The following is a 17,757-nucleotide window of genomic DNA, read 5'->3' as shown; positions in this document are numbered from 1 at the left end:
GGTAAAAAATATATGCATTTACAGATGCCCTTACTATTTACTTAAGAAAAATTCGAGGTATGTACAAAACAAGTATTAGAACTAAAAGTAAATGTAGCAAGATTATAGGATACAATGTCAACATACAATTATCATTAGTATTTTCATATACCAGTAGCAATCAGAAGGTGAAATTTTTTAAAAGTTTCTATTAAGATAGTGTAGACAAAACATAAAATACTTAGAAATAATTTAGCAAAATGTGCAAATCCTCTTTATTGAAAGTTATACATCATTGCTAAGATAAATAAAAGGCCTAAAGAAATGTAAAGAAATAATATATTCATGGATTGGAAGACTTACTATTGTTATCAATTATTTCCAAATTGACCTAAAGTTTCAAAACAATTTCAATCAAAATTCCTGTGGAAATTGGCAAGCTAATTCTAAAATGTATGAGAATTCAACTAAAAACCTTATAATAAGCAAAGCCATTTTTAAAAAGAGCAAGTTGGAAGATTTATCCTATCTAATTTCAAGAATACCTATAAAGTTATAGTAATCAAGACAGTGTGGTGTTGAAGGATATATATAAGGATATATATATACATTTGTTTTATATATATATATTTTCCACATCTCTCTCTTTCTCTCTGTATATATATATATACATATATATATATATACATATATATATATATATGTATATATATATATATATTCATTCATATCAGTGAAACAAAATATGAAGTCCAGGAAAAAACTCACATATATATGGTCAGCTGGTCAACAGATTTTCACAAAGGGGCTAAGACAGTATGTGGAGAAATGATTGCCTTTTCAACAAATGGTTTTGGAGAGAGATAGAGAGACTAACTTCTGTCCTTATCTCTCATCACACACAATAATTAATCATTTGGATCACTGACCTAGGCATAAAAGCTCAAATAATAAAGTTTCTTTAAAAAAAAAAACAAACAAACCATTAAATTAGGCTGGGTGTGGTGGCTCATGCCTGTAATCCCAGCACTTTGGGAGGCCAAAGTGGGAGGATCACTTGAGGTCTGGAGTTTGAGACCCGCCTGGCCAACATGGTGAAACCCTGTCTCTACTAAAAATACAAAATCAGCTGGGTGTGGTGGCATGTGCCTGTAATCCCAGCTACTTGGGAGGCTGAGGCAGGAGAATCACTTGAACCTGGAGAATCCCTTGAACCTGGGAGGCGGAGGTTGCAGTGAGCTGAGATTGTTCCACTGCACTCCAACCTGGGCAACAGAGGAAGAATCTGTCTCAACAACAAACAAATAAAAAAACCATTAAATGAAAATCTTTGCATCTTGCTTATAGGCAAATATCTTCAGGCACAAAAAGCAATGGTAATAAACAACATATTTAGACTTCATCAAAATTAAAATCTTCTACTCATCAAAAGTAATCATTGAGAAAACAAATAGGCAAGTCAAAGACTGGGGAAAAATATTTGCAAAACATATTTCTGATGAACAATTTCTGTTCAGAATATATACAGAACTCCTACAACTCAATAATAAAAATGCAAACAACCTGGTTAAAAACAGGCACAAGATTAGAATAGACCCTCCTCAAAGGAACAATAAGCACATGAAAAAGAGCTCAGTAGCATTAGACATCAGGAAAGTACACATAAAAATCACCATGAGATCTCATTATATTCCCCCCACAGGAATGGTTGAAAATCTTAATAAAGGAATGGTTAGAGATCCCATCATATACTTGTTGGTGGGAGTTTAAAATGGTACAGCACTTTGGGAAAACTTCTAGCAACTTATTATAAAACTATACATACATTTACCCTATGACCCAGAAACTCCACTACTGGTAATCAATCTAAGAAATGTTAAAGTATACATCAATGAGTTTTTATAACAAAGTTCATTAAAGCTTTATTCATAATAGTAAAAAAATGGAAACAGTCCAGTATTCATCAAGAGGACAGAAACAAAATGGTGGCATATTCAAACAATTGGGATGCTAATCAACAATGTAAGGAACAGACAACTGATGTAAGTGCCAACATGGGTAAATTCTTGAAAACATTGTGCTGAGTAAAGGAAGTTTTCTACACAGAGTACCTATTGAGTAATTCATCTATGTGCACTTTTAGAATGGGCAAAACAAATGTATGATGAAAACAATCAGCATAGTTGTTGCCTCTGGAGGTGCTGGCAGTGGAGATTGGGAAGGAACATGAGAGAAATTTCTAGAGTGATATTAATTTTCTATATCTTGACAGCAGTTTGGATTATCCAGATATATAAATTTTCAAAACAGAATTACACATTTAAAATTTGTGCTATTTACAGTAGATAAATTTTACCTAGAAATAAAGAAGAAACTTAAACTTATACTAAACTCTGCTAATGATATGCATGCTGAAGTGTTTAGGGGTGATATATACTAATGTCCGCAACTAACTAAATTACATCAATACATATGGGAGATTGATACATAAATAGAAGGATAGATGAATGGGTAGATATGTAATACATCAAAAACAGCAAAATGTTAATTGTAGAATCTTGGCAATGAATTGGGTGAACACTATATAGTTCTTTCAACTTTTCTGTATTTTTGGCAATTTTTACAAGTAAATTTTTGGAAAAATTACAGATGATTGGAGGATCCTAAATGCAGTCTTCTCTTCAGTTCCAACCCTACTTCCTATCCTACTTCATAACTGTATACCAATGTTTGAATTGTAAGTAAAAATAACCTCTCATAAGAGTGGTTAATAATTACTTTAGTGATACATGTAAATGACTCCCCCATTCCATGATTGGCATGCCCAGAGTACTGTTTTTAACATGGGGAATTGCTAATGGTAAAGTGGCCTCATTGCATTTGAGCTGAATATGTGTGCAGACTAAAAATTAGCCTAACTTGCCTGTAGTATTTAGAGCTATAGACCTAAAATCCTAAGATTAAACATATTAATTGTTCCATATTAGCAGCATTTAAAGCAGTGGCCTCTTCAGGTTTGAATCTATAGTTAACAGGTCACTATTGTGCCTCTACCTTCACCCTTTTTTATTGTATTATCTCCCTGCCTGCTGGAGGTGATTGCTGTAGAGCAGGGGTACCCAACACTCGGGCCGCTGACCAGCACAGGTTCATGGCCCGTTAGAAGCTGGGCCACACAGCAGGAGGTGAATGCACATCACCCACCTGGGCTCTGCCTCCTGTCAGATCAGCGGCGGCATTAGTTTCTCATAGGAGCACGAACCCTATTGTGAACTGCGCATGTGAGGGATCTACGTTGAGCGCTCCTTATGAGAATCCTAACTGATTCCTCATGATCTGAGGTGGAACAAGGAACAGTTTCATCTGGGAACAATCCCCGCACCCCTCTCCACTCAGTCCATGGAAAAGTTGTCTTCCACGAAACCTGTCCCTGGTACCAAAAAGGCTGATTACTGCTGCTTTAGACAACTGCACTGTTTAAAGTTTATATACTTAATTTACCACAAATCTAGAAGCACTTAAGATAATCGCACAGAACACCTGAAGTTTTCTTACTAGAAAAAAACATTTTAAGTAATAAAGTTGTATGGGATACCATATGTCTTAAGATTCAGATTCAGGGTTGCTGAGAGAGAGCTTCCTAACCCACCCTCACCACTATCTTTGGCTGAGTACATTTACAGTGGCAATGGGCTATTTCTCAGCAATTGCTTTCTAGGAATTTATCTTTCCCTCCCCAAAGAGTGGGCTTTAAAATGAAGCACATAGTTTCTTGAAAATATCATATTAGAGTGGTTATTGTGTTAAATGCTTTCATTCTCTCACCCCGTTGTTATTAAAGCCACTCTTCTCTTGGGGGATGGAGGCAAAGACAGTCAGAAAGGGGCAAAAACACAAAAAGACAAAAACATTCCGGGAACGCTGTTACTGCTTTCACAGGTCACAGCCTTCTCTGAAAACTTGTCAGGCGTCCCCTCCCTCTGTTTTGCAGGTGGTTAGAATCATAATTGGGCCCTAAAAAAAATAAAATAAAAAAAGTTGTGGCTGGAGATCAAAAGTTAAAAACATCATTAATTATTGATAGGCCTGGATTTTGACAAGAGCATCCTTTGGGTCAGAGATGAGTTAAGAAGCACTTAACAAATAAGCAGGCTTGCAGATTATTTTTGCAGTTCTTGTTGGAACAAAAGAAATATAAAAAAAAAAGATAGGATTTTATTATCTAGATATGACAATCTTTTATTCAAAAAAATGATTACTATATTATACAAAGCCTTGCCTCTCGACCAAACATTTAAAATGAATGGTAGGAAAAAAGACAATCACATAAAAAGATGGGTGGTCAATGCCAAGTGTGACATTCACGTATTCAGAGTAAAACGTTTTTCTTTATCTCACTCTCTACTGTCCTTTTAGCTATCGTTTTGAGGGAAAGCATTTTTGTTCTTTTCAATGTGTATTCCTTTTGACCATCGTAGACTAATTTGAATTTTTTCTAAGTAGGTCACAAATAAGTTATGATGCTGCTCCTTTCTATTTTAACAGCAGCATGGTAACAGCGAGCTGCATTTTAGAAGGAGAGGCTTGTGGGTACCAGTTAGAACAGCAGTAAGAGTCGAGACATGATGTGTTCCTTCTTTACTCTTTACCCCCCACATGAAAAGGCCTTAGCCCCCAGCTTTGCCTCAGGCCAAAGCCATGAGGCCATAGCCTAAAGCTCCTGATGAATCCTCATAGACTTCTCTGGTCAGAGTTTCTCAGGCAAAACCTGCACAAAACAAATGCTTTTCACTTGATGTCTGCCTCTTGAAAGCTTGGAGCAAAGATATCTCTTTGAAAAAAAACGAAACAAATTTGAAATTATGCTTATAAGGCCATTTTTTATCTTTTGCCATTTGTGTATGCAGCAAATGCTAAATATTGTATTGCCTAGCAGGAAGTCAAATACAAGTGCCCACTGTGTCTTAAATAAAATAAGAAGCATGTTCATTTAGAAACTGTGAGTGGTAATTCAACATGAAAATCTGGGGGCAAAGAAATGATCTTGGGAGCCCCTGGGCAAACCTGGAGAACTGGCACATGGGCAGTCAGCAACCTGCTTTCTTTCATTACCAATGAGATGTGCATTGCCTTTTTTCCCCTGTCTTTATTCATTTTTCAACAGCCTGCCACATGCAATATGCCAAATCTCATATAAAAAAGCCTTCTACACACACACACACACACACACACACACGTGCACACACACACGAACTAAAGAACCTTCAGCAGATCCTGACATAGACAGACAGTAAAAACAGCCATCTGCACTGAAGCCCAGGATTTATTCAATTATACTTGCCCGAGTCATTTGTTTGGCTTTGCAATGTAAAGAGTTCTGTTTTATTGTTGGGACTTTTCAGGCTGTCTAATTGTTTTCAAAACTCTTCTCCCCAGATGCGTTTGGCATTTACCAACAGTGAACAAGCACGAGCAGTGGAATGCAAAAATGTGTGTGCATCAAATGAACATGAAAATCTTCACCCAGGTCACCTGCCAGAATCAAACTAAGGTTCCTGGTATTTAATGGAAAGGTTAAAAGAAGTTTATAGCTTTAATGCCTGTGGCACACTGATTACTTTTCAAGATTTTGAGGATTAAAGCCTATGAGAGTCTTTTGAGCAAGTTTGAACAGTGGTGTTGGGAAGCATGAATGGCAGGTGGCTGGTCTACAGAATCTCATCCAGGTTCAAGCTTTTGGACATGATGTTATCAACACCCCACTCAGATTTCATGTTTCATCCTGAGGATTCTATCATTGCTCTAATCAAGTCAGATAATATGGTCAATGCTTTATTTTTATTTAAAGCAAGGCTTTTAGTACTATGTATGCTTTCAGTTAAGCCACATAGCTGCTCTAGCATAGTATTATTTGTGACCATAGCTGTTGTCTCCAAATGGTCATTAATATTCTTGTTAAAAAAAAAAGAGAGAATAATCATTGAGGTTCTCTTTCACAAAGTCTCTATTCTTATCAATGGCCATATAATGCTGATATCTTTTGGGTCAAAATGGAAAGATTTCATGCTGTACTTTGAAATACAGTGTTATATAGCACAATAAGTCTATTACAGGAAATCGTAAGTTTAATGTACAAAGCATATTAAAAAAACCCACAAAATTTGAATTTTTTTTAACCAGACATGAATCCAGTATTTTGGGTGCAAGCCTTGTTTAATGTACACCTGCTGAAAACGTTTCATACATAAACACAGATGGATATTTCTATGTATATACATATATATGTATATGTGTGTGTGTTTCCATGTCTGTCGCTATCTTTATACCTAACTTGGAAAGTTGATTACCTTAGTAATAGTTGGGCATATTTTATCCTGGCTTTTAGCTTACAACAATTATGGAAAGTCTGAATTTTTTTCATCTGTCTTCATTTGAACATGTCAAACATCTGTTAACTTGTTCCAGTCAGAATCATTTTACCCTATAAAAGAATCAAGTGGAAGACTACTTATAGTTTGTCTATGACATTTTGTTAAAAATTAAAAGCTTCCTCCCTCCCTCCCTCCCTTTCTTCCTTCCTTCTTCCCTTCTTTTCTCTATCCCTCCCTTCCTTCCTTTCTTTTTCCTTCCCTTCTTCTCTCTTTTCTTCCAAGCGTCAGTGCTTGGCTAGAATTGGAAATAAACTACCCTTTCTTTCACTGTTTCCAAAAAAGTATGCAAATGGAAATTTGAAAGCTATCACATAAAAGTATATCCAAGTAAAATCCTATATGAGAGACATGAACATAAAAACAAATGCTCCTAACTGTAGAATCAGGCAAAATGCCATGTTGATGTGTGCAGTCATGTAGTCAACTAACTCAAGATTACCCTTGTGGTGTTTTCCTTTCCAGAATTATTCACTGTCTCAGATTCAGATAGGAAGGGAATTCAGTGTCTTTCATTTCTGAGTTGCACCCATAGGTGATACACTGTAGGTGACCTTTATATCTTTTTGTTTCCCCAAATGCTAGCCTGAAGACATCTGTCCCTTGGGAGAGCACTAGTAGATTTTTTTTCTGGAGAAACTCTTGAGAGTTGCTCAGTTTTGGTGCTTAGTTAGAAAGCTCTCCGTGGGCTCAGACGGAAGCTTTCCTTTGCAAGACATCACAAGTGTAGGAGTTGTCTCCTTTTATTTGGGGGAAATAACCATCAGGGGCAAGTCTTCATTTCTATGGTGTCCTGGATGCTTCTCTATTTCCTGCTTTCTCTTATCATTTCATTTTCTAGGTATGAATTTGAAACATGGTGGGTTATGGCTTTGTCCTTCCAAGATTTCTTTAGTAAGATTTTGGGATCAGTATGTGTCCGGAGCTGAGCAGCCAGAACTATTTCAGTCATGCCTTTGGAGTCCTGCTGCAAATATTCAGAATTTTAGAACTTTGATTTATGTGAGAATGGGATACCATAGATACCATCCCTACCAACGAATGCACTGTTTTGCATCTGTTCGCTTTGCTTTCCTATGGGTCAAACAATGACCATTGCTAATTTATATGCTTTCTAAAAACATTGGTTTGTTGGGTATAAAATGTGGTTTCTCTGGGTTATAATACTGCTGCCAGACAGATGCCATGTTTTGCATATTATTAGTGTAACTTTGAAACCAACAAAGACAGTGAATTCATTGTATTTTAGATACGATTTAAATCAAGAAAACCGAAGCTTGGGAAATGACTATTGGGAATACGAAAATACTTTTTTTTTAAATTGGTTTGTTGTTTAACGTGTACTTAAGTGTCTACTGTGTAGTCCCTTACATTTATTCTTTCTCTCAGAAATGATTACTGGATGCCTACTGTGAGCTAGACATGGTATCAGATGTTTGGGTTACAGTGATGAATTGTAATGGGAAGAGAAATATGGACATGCCAAGAAGATTCCAGGGGAAAACAAAGCTAAACTAATACAAAAAATTAGGACATTGACCTTTGTCTGTACCAATAAATATTAAGGAATTTGAAGTTATTTGACAAATAGAGAGAGCTAAGGATGGGTTTCAAAAATTTTTCCAAGTGGTCGAGGTATATTTACAGAAGGCACTTCATGATGACAGAGAATAGCATGAGGCTAAGTGGGTAAAACTGGGGCAACTAAGAATTGAGCTTCTCATAACAAACTTCTTGACTTTAGAGCCAGCACAGAGTTTTTAAGGGAGCATGTGAACTTTCCTTCACTTGAAAACGTGAACGTTGGCCCACCTCCCGCTCTGTCAGATGATTTAGCTTTTATCTGCTGTAGACAGGGAGTTTGGACCAGAGGGCCCTTCTTGTCCTTCCCACTGTCACTGATTCTCTGATACATGTTTTGGAAAACAGCTTTTGTCAAAAAGCAACTTGCCACAATTGGTTCTTTATGACATTTTTCCCGACTTTGTCCAGAGTGAAGTGAGGTTTAGTCTGTAAGGAAGAAGGTGAAGGTGACAGTCAGTTTCATGAAGGGTACACAACAGCCTGCTACAGGTGAGGACCTGAATCATCGCACCACTCTCCTTTTAAGTTATTATGCCACATCTCACTCAAACATGAAGCATTTCATCTCAGGAGTAGTTCCTTTTTATTGTAGCATTGCTCTTTTCTTTGCCGTAATTAAGATTCTGTCACTGTTTCCCTTATAAACTCCTATTTTCTGGAATTTATAACTAAAGGCTAAAAATTCCTTCTAGGCTGAAACTTGAAAAACTGCAATCTGATCTTTTTACATGTTGGATTTTTTTCCTCTTCTGTAAAGGAAGGATAAGTTCAGCTGAGCTTAAAAGGGTCCTGATGTGGGAAAAATTAGACTGAGGATTTTCCTTTAGTTTCAACTCTATTGTGTCTAATGAACTTTGAGTTTACAGACTTTGAGCTTTTAAATGTTAGATATATGCCTTAAAGGACTATTTAGAAATAAATGAGGTTTGGAGTTTGTAAGAGTCTTGTCTTTACTATAATATTTCACCAACTATGCTCTAAGGAAAAATGATGAATAAAATAACTAGAAATCCCTTCTCAAAATTAGTGCATTTTTGTAGCTAATTATTTAGCTATTTCTGAGCTTCCCTAACCCACATAGATTTATGCCACACCTCTAGCAGTCTGATCCAAAGAGCATCTGTTAATGATGGCAAGCAATAGGTTTAAAAAGTAACAGAAAATAGCAAAGGAGAAGCAATTTTTGCCTATCTCTTTTAGTTTTGGTTGAGGGAAACTGGGAATGCTGAATTCATAGAACACTGCATTTCAAAGGCAAAGAACAGGCTAAGTAGAAGTGTTACCTTAGTCCTATTGATCCTTGGGGTCCAGGAAGCCAAATTTGAATCAATTGAACTCTACTTGGTTTAGGATAAATGATTTGATGAATCTCCCCAAAAAAGTCATTTTATTTTTTCTAGGTATACAAGTCCAGGTATAAGAGAAGTTATTTACTTCACAAGAGTATGAAAACCTGAAAGGATAAACATTCATTAATTCCTGTCTCTTGCATTCATGTCTGGATGTGTCTGACCCTCAGACCTAAAAAAATAAGAAAATTCAAACCTACAAATATCATCATTTTTATGCTTTCCCCTTTTCTTCCCCTAGGCAGATATCCCCGGCATTTAATGTGAATGTCCTTGCTTCTGAGACTTTCAATTCTTTATTTTTTTATATAAAAGTAGGTTTCTTTTGATTTAAAAAAATGAATTTTTTATGCCAGAAGGGAGATGTTTTATGTTTCTTTTATGTTCTCTTCTTTTCACTCCACATGAATAGGTTTACCAGTTTTATTTTTTATTTTCAGATGAATACAATTTCATGTTAAGCTGGACAAATTTATTCAACCCCAGTTCAAGTACAATTTAAAAAAAATAAATAAAGCAAGGTCAGGCTAGCTTTGGTTTTTTAAAAATATTTTCTTTTATAATAAATTCTCTCTCAAATGATGCCTATGTGTATATTTTGACATAATCATGGGTAAAAATGTGCAGTGTCTGAAATCTAAAATGACACTGGAATATCTTTTCTTGCATTAGCATTACTTTAGTATTCCTACAACAGAGGATGATTTGGGGAAATACAGAGGCTTTTGGTTTATATATATACCTCTGATTATTATCCCACTTCCTTTAGCTACAGATCCAATTTCATACCATGATGGATGTATTTCTCAGAGTTCAAAAGAAGTGATGGCAAAAAGAAGGGCTTTAAATAAGGCAACCATGAGAGCCCAAGATGTGAAATTCAAAATCAAATGCCATAGAGTTAAATGATGATCTAGTTTTTGATTTCTGCTCCAACAACTGAGGTATATTTGGGGTCTTCAAGTGTAGCATCATGTATGAAAACAGTACTAGGAATCCAGACAAGGATGACTGTGACATTCATGTTTCATTTCATCTAGTATTTTATTTTAATCAATGACTTTAAAAGCCATGTCCTGGGAGGGCAGAGGTGTCATCACTTTAGAGGAAATAGATAAATCACCACACACTAAAGGGTGCAAGAATTAGGCAAAATGTTGAAATGTTGTTCTCATTTTATTTATGGCATTACGATACTTTAGACATAGTCAAAAAGTTACTGGTGATTTCAGCATCCTGGAGATTTCAGGTGGGTATTGATAGGTGGTTTGTAGAAAATTCTCACAAGTGTAATTGCATTAAAGTAACAGATGATGCTGTTGGTAGTTGACGATTATTCTACATTAAACTTAAGAAGCAAATAGTTATCTGGCTTTTTTGCACTCATGATGTTTTTATAATAGAAATTTCTGATATGCAACAGAAGTTAATTGACTATTTCAATTTATTTGGTTTCTTCCCTGGTTGAAAACAGAAAGGAAAGAGAGAAAAGATGGAAGGACAAAAGGAAGAATTCATTCCTTTGAGGCACAATATTGTGCTTTCAAGATACCAAGTTTAAAAAGAGAATACTCTTTAATAAGATAAAATGAATTGAATATAATCAGTATTGTGCAAATTAATTTACTTTGCAATGATAGTGTACATGATGGGTGTGGGTGAGGCAAGAGAATCCTGTGGCTCGAGATAGGGGGTTCTCATTGAGACAAGGGACAATACAAGGGGGAAGAGAGACACAAAAGAGGAGGAAACAGACGCCAAAGTCCAATTTTGATTTTGTTCTTGGATTTGTCTAATGCTGGCCTTGAACACAGTTCTCGTAAGTTCTATCAAATAGTACTGAAGATAAATACTACTCCTTTCAAAATTTAGTTGAGTTTCTTTGTTTGATAAAATACTGGTAAGTGGAACACCCATGGAACCAGAGGCAGGAGATTAGCTGTCACTTAAGAGCTGTCAGCATCTTTCCAATTATTTTATTAAATGAGGGACAGTTAATGGTATCTAAAATTTCTCTGCCTTATAAAATGCAAAAACGTATCCATTCAGTTCTATGAACTCCAAATTAAATTGGACAGCCCTAGGATTATACTTCCTATTGTCTGCATGTACAAATTGATAAACATTTTATAATATGAATTTGTGAATTTTTGGGTCACAATTCTGAGTTAGGTTAAAACCATTTTGCAAAAACTATTGTCACCTGCAGGCTCCTTGCAATAGGACACTAAGTTTCTTTAGTAATTTTCTTTAAAATGTGGCTATTGTAGTGTTTAGAGAGAAATCTGGATAAAGAGAACTGAAGGAACCCTTTTGGTATATTCAAATGAAAAGGAATATTTCCAATTCTAATGCGCCTGAGTAATTCTCAGAGAACAAAACCTTGGAGCAAATATCAAAAGGTTATAGTCTTTTATTATGATTAATAATAATAATAAGATGATGAAGAAGAAAAACAGTTTTTCCCTCTTACTGTTTTTGTTGTCATATACTGGAAAAATAAATTCTAATCTAACATTTTATTCCTCCTCCATTCTCCTTGTCTCAAACTTGTGGGGTTCTCAACTTGAAAACTTATTTTTCTCTTTCAAAATGTGCATTAAAGCACAAATGACTTTCTCACTTTGATGTTGCCAGAGAAACTTGAGCACTATGTAATTAAGCTTCTGCTTTAAAGTATTTCTCGCAACAAACACAGGCTTCTAGGACTAAGACTACATAATAAATGTTATTAACTGTACATATAAATAGGAAATGTGTCTTGCAAAGCATTATATTAGCTGAATGAGCTTGCCTTATTCCAAAGTCATCTCTTTGCTAATAATGACTCATGAGTTTCCTTTCCATTATTTAAAAATAACATAATTACAGGTGATTCTGTAATAATTTGACATATCTTATATTCATATCTGAACCTATTAATTAGAAACAACATAGGTATTTATAATGCGCCTTTATTATTCAAGTTAGTCCCTTTAATCCTATTTGAATAGGCAGATAAAAATTAATCCCTTCAAACATTTTTATAAACAAACATTTAAAGTCACGTATTTTCATCTTTGTCCTCAGCACCTATGCTGAAAGCTTTCATGATTGAAGTTGATAGAAGTAATAAACAAGTGATTGGGCAAGAATAATATGCAAATTTTTTTCTTTGCAAAGAAGGGATATGTATTCACTGAAGAGTTCTCCCGATCCACAGGGGTTTAAAATCACAGAGAATTATTTTAGAGTGTGGTAATATCCTTAGAAATTAATGATTCAATCATTCTTGGGGGTTAGGTTGTCATGGAGGTCCTTGACTGTTCTCCTGAGCCCGTCCATCTCATAAAACAAGCAGGTGTCTATTTGAAAACTTTCTAGACCAAGAGGACCAGGCTAGTACAAGGCCTTTAGGTTTCTCAGAGGGTCCCTTGGAGTAGGCATTTGCTAACATAATAATAACAGAAGGAAGCCACACTGAAGCCAATTTTGGATTCTTTTTCCAGCACTGTGATCCTCACCACAAGGTCACTGGAAGCAGGGGAGGAAGCAATTGTTTTTCCCTGCTGTGAGCAATGGATTTGAACATGCCTCACACTGCTTTCATGCTGCGTTTTCTTTCCCTCCCCTTTCCCCATAACACAAGTGTAAACTGAGCATGGGAAAGCCCTTTGGGCACTAAAAATAACACAGTCTATCCACAGATCAACTGATTATCTTATTTCACTTATTTCCTCAGAATTATGCAGAGTCCATCAGTTAAGTAATGATAACTTTTTAAACCAGAAGGAACTAAAAAATAGCTGGTATTCGTTTATGTTTTGAATATTTTTGTTATAAAGTGTAGAAAATTTGAGAAATATAGTAAAGTAAAAAGGAATACAATAAAAAAATTAGTAAGCATAAAACTAAGGAGTAACTGTGCTTGATATTTAGTTTAAATTCCTTCCAGGCTTTAACATGGTTTAATAATGGAGATCATGTAATAGAGATAGCATTACATATTTTTTCATGTTATAAAAGTCTTTGACAGCGTATTTTTAATTAGCTACATGACATTCCTTCTCATTTAAGAAAATTTAAGAAATTTTTAAATTTAAGAATTTAAAGAATTTAAATGTAAGAAATTTAAATTGGATTTAAGAAAAAAATTAACCATTCTCTTATTATTGGAAAGTAAGGCTCTTTTGATTTTAGTTTTGTTAATAAGAATTCTTCGAGTCTCCTTTAATGTAAAAGTATTTTATCTGTAATTATTTCCTTAGAATTTATTACTACACATGGAATTTACTAGGTCACAGCGTGTGAATATTTTTAAAGTTCTTGATACAGAGCTAAATATTTCTTTGAGAAGTTGTTCAAGTTTACATCCCCAACAGTATATGAGAATGTCTATTTCCCACATTTTCAGAAACGTTTAGAACTATTGTCCAATTTAAGTTAGACAAGTTACTTGCTGATAAATGCTATTTTATTTTTTGTTTCTATTGAGTTCTGAATAAACTAGCACAGTTTTGTACTTAAACATTCGTTGTTTCACACTTTTACTATTTCTTCTGAGAATTGTTCTCCCTTCGTCATACCCTTTGCCACTTTTTTCTTTCAATTGTTTGTGCTTCTGATATTGATTTCTAAGAATTCTTTACATAACAAGGATATCTATCAGCACTTTGTGCACCACAGTTATTGAAAATATTATATTCCAAGTTTTATTGACCTATGTATTTAATTGTTCCTGGTGTAGAGGAGTTATGAATGTTGGGAGACAATTCTGCATGGATCTTTTTGTTTCTGCACATCTTGTGAACAGAGACGCTAACAGCTTTTTGTTTTAGGACTATCTTTTCAAGGATGTTTGTCCAGCAAACAGCCCTGGAAAATAGACATCGTGTCCCCATTGGAAGCATAGGAAAGAGGATCTTAGCGCCCATGAGAAAAGGTTAGGGCTCCTTAAACTCAGGTTCCTCTCCTGTAATTCAACCCGCTTGTCCAGGTGTCACCTGAATACCTTCACATTGTTCTGTGGGAAAGGAATGTCGCAGAACTGATACAAATTTGCCCTGGGGGGTTTATTAAAAATAATCATTTAGTTAATTTTATACCATCTTCAACATTTTATTACTCTTCAATGTTTTAAATTCTTCCTTTTCAATTTGGATATTTTGTTTTCCAAAATGTTTCTGTGTCCTGAGTATTTTCAGATTATAATAAATTTCTGCAATATATTTCCTCATAATCAATACATCTTAAATTCTGTTGTATCTTTTGGTGATGAACCCTTTTTGAATTTCTTAATTTAATAATTAGGCTTGAAAGAAACTACCTCTACAATTTCTTAGTTCATTTTGTGGTTCAGTGTTTGCTTTCTAATTCATGCACTTCTGCTTTCAGTTTTATTATCTTTACTTGTGGTTTGTTTTATTCTCATTGTTATTTAATTTTTAGTTGTATTTTAAATTTATTCATTTTTTTGAAATTCTACCAGTTACGTTCTTTTTGACTACAGGTGGTATAAATGTTGACTCCAAGGAGTCTAACAATAAAAATATATATTAATCTCGTATCCCTGTAAGTCTAGAGGTAGGGTAGGTGCTATGGATCAGTACTTGAAGATTTTATTAAGGACTCTGTTACTTTTCATCTCTCTTCTCTGTCTTCCTTAACATCAGGTCCCATTTCAGACAGGTTAACATCATGGTCACAAGGTGGCCATGTGGTAGCCAGGTTACATACTTTCTTGTTCATTTTCAGAGGAAGACAGAAAGCTTCTCTTCCAGATCCTTTTCTTTCATCTGATCAGACCAGCACAAGTCATGGAAGCATCCCTATTTCAACAGCATTTTGCAAGGAATGTTATAACTAATTCAATTAGTCTGTCAGGATCTATGCCCACAGCTGGCAACGGGGTGACCTTCATCTCAGTCATGAAGGGCTACATTGATGGACAAATTTGGGGTTCTCTTAGAAAGAAAGAAGGGGTTTTTGGGTAGGCCACCAGCAGCATAAATGAGAGTCTTCAAGGCTAAAATTTATATTGCGTTTGTCCACATTACAAGTTTTAGTATATGACCATTTTGATTATTTAATAATCATCTGTAAATTATTTTATCCTCTTTGATTTGTTATATTGGGATGTGCTTTTAAATATCTAAATGTTAAATATTTTCTGTTTAAATAAGTGGTTATGACCTATATATATATATATATATATATATATATTCTGACGGTTCTAATTTATTAAAGTTTTCTTTGTGTCTATCCACGTCAATTTGTAAATGTTCCAGTGATGGGGAGCTATATATTCAGATAATTCTATTGGTAGTTAGCTTTAAGCGTCACAATAAAAAATAACTTGAAGCAAGCTCTTTAATTTTATTTATTTAACAAACACATAGCTGACCAAGTGCCAGGAAATTTTTCAATTGCTTTGTAAATATTACTTAATGTATCCTCACAACCCTGTAAGTTAATCCCTGTTATTATTCTATTATTCAGATGGCACAGAAAGGATAAGTCACTTTTACAGGTCACACAGCTAGCAAGTTGCCCTGCTTACATCTAAACATGAATGTCCTGGTCCCAGAAGCCATATCTTTAACACTCTCCTAAACGAGCTATCAATCAATAAAAAAGTAATAAAATGACTCTGAATACAATCTGAATAGATTGAGTGGCATCAAGTCTAAATTTGCCTCTGTGGTTCCAAATAAAATAACCAAAACAATTTGTAAGAAAGAGGAGAAAAAAAAAAAAAGAACTGGTAGCAATCAAATAAGGAAAGGGACACTATATCTTGTCATAATCTTCAAAACATGGGGACTAAGGAAAAAAAAGATTTGGTGGGGTTCAGTTTATTTCTAAACCACTGTCCATTTTCCTCTTTAGTACTAGGAAAACAAGATAAATGTTTAAAATCCAGAGAAATCTCACTGATAATGTCCTGACTTTGAGAAAGGGTTCTGAGAAGTGAGTGGATAGTCACACATAGAAACTATTACATATCAGCAAAAATCTTAGCAAAGGAAGGCAATATTTAGGATTTCCCATTGATTCTTCTTGATCAGGAAGAAATGAAGCATTAAGGTAAAATACTTATAATTTCATAGGAGTTTATCTTCCTCCTCCACCAAAAGAGACACAGTGGAACTGCGGCCAGGAGCTAAAATAAATGAGACAAAGACCCCCCACCTCCCCTCCCGACAGAAAAGGAAAATGTAAGGGAAGCTGTATTAAGATCCTCCAGCTGTGAATAATCCCTCTCTGATTATTCACCCACGTTTCAAGGGTGTCAGACCACGCAGGGACGCCTGCCTTCGTCCTTCACCCTTAGCGGCAAGTCCCGCTTTTCTGGGGAAGGGGCAAGTACCCCAACCCCTTCTCTCCTTGTCTCTACCCTTTCTCTGCTTTTCTGGGGCAAGGGCAAGTACCCCAATCCCTTCTCTCCTTGTCTCTACCCCTTCTCTGCTTTTCCGGGGAAAGGGCAAGTACCCCAACCCCTTCTCTCCTTGTCTCTACCCCTTCTCTGCTTTTCTGGGAGAGGAGCAAGTACCCCTCAACCCCTTCTACTTCACCCTTAGCAGCAAGTGCCGCTTTTCTACGGGGCAAGAACCCCCAATCCCTTATTTCCATGCCCCAACCTCTTATCTCTGTGCCCCAATCCCTTATTTCCGCACCCCGACCTCTTATCTCTGTGCCCCAATCCCTTATTTCCACACCCCGACCTCTTATCTCTGTGCCCCAGTCCCTTATTTCTGTGCCCCAACCTCTTATATCTCTGCACCCCAATCCCTTATTGCCACGCCCAACCTCATATCTCTGTGCTCCAATCCCTTATTTCCACGCCCCGACCTCTTATATCTCTGTGCCCCAATCCCTTATTTCCGCACCACAACCTCTTATCTCTGTGCCCCAACCCCTTTTCCCACTTTTCTGGAAGGTAAGAACCCCCAAACCCCTTCCCTCCATTTCTCTACTCTCTCTTTTCTCTAGGCTTGCTTTCTTCACTATGGGCAACCTTCCACCCTCCATTCTTCCTTCTACTCCCTTGGCCTGTGTTCTCAAAAACTTAAAACCTCTTCAACTCACACCTGACCTAAAACCTAAATGCCTTATTTTCTTCTGCAATGCCGCTTGACCCCAATAGAAACTTGACAGTAGTTCCAAATAGCCAGAAAAATGGCACTTTGAATTTTTCCATCCTGCAAAATCTAAATAATTCTTGTCGTAAAATAGGCAAATGGTCTGAGGTGCCTGACGTCCAGGCATTCTTTTACACATCAGTCCCTTCCTAGTCTCTGTGCCCAGTGCAACTTGTCCCAAATCTTCCTTCTTTCCCTACCGCCTGTCCCCTCAGTACCAACCCCAAGCGTCGCTGAGTCTTTCTAATCTTCCTTTTCTACAGACCCATCTGACCTCTCCCTTCCTCCCCAGGCTGC

Source organism: Homo sapiens, chromosome 15, assembly GCF_000001405.40.
Source record: "Homo sapiens chromosome 15, GRCh38.p14 Primary Assembly".
Taxonomy (NCBI): Eukaryota; Metazoa; Chordata; class Mammalia; order Primates; family Hominidae; genus Homo; species Homo sapiens.
This window is presented reverse-complemented; position numbering follows the sequence as displayed.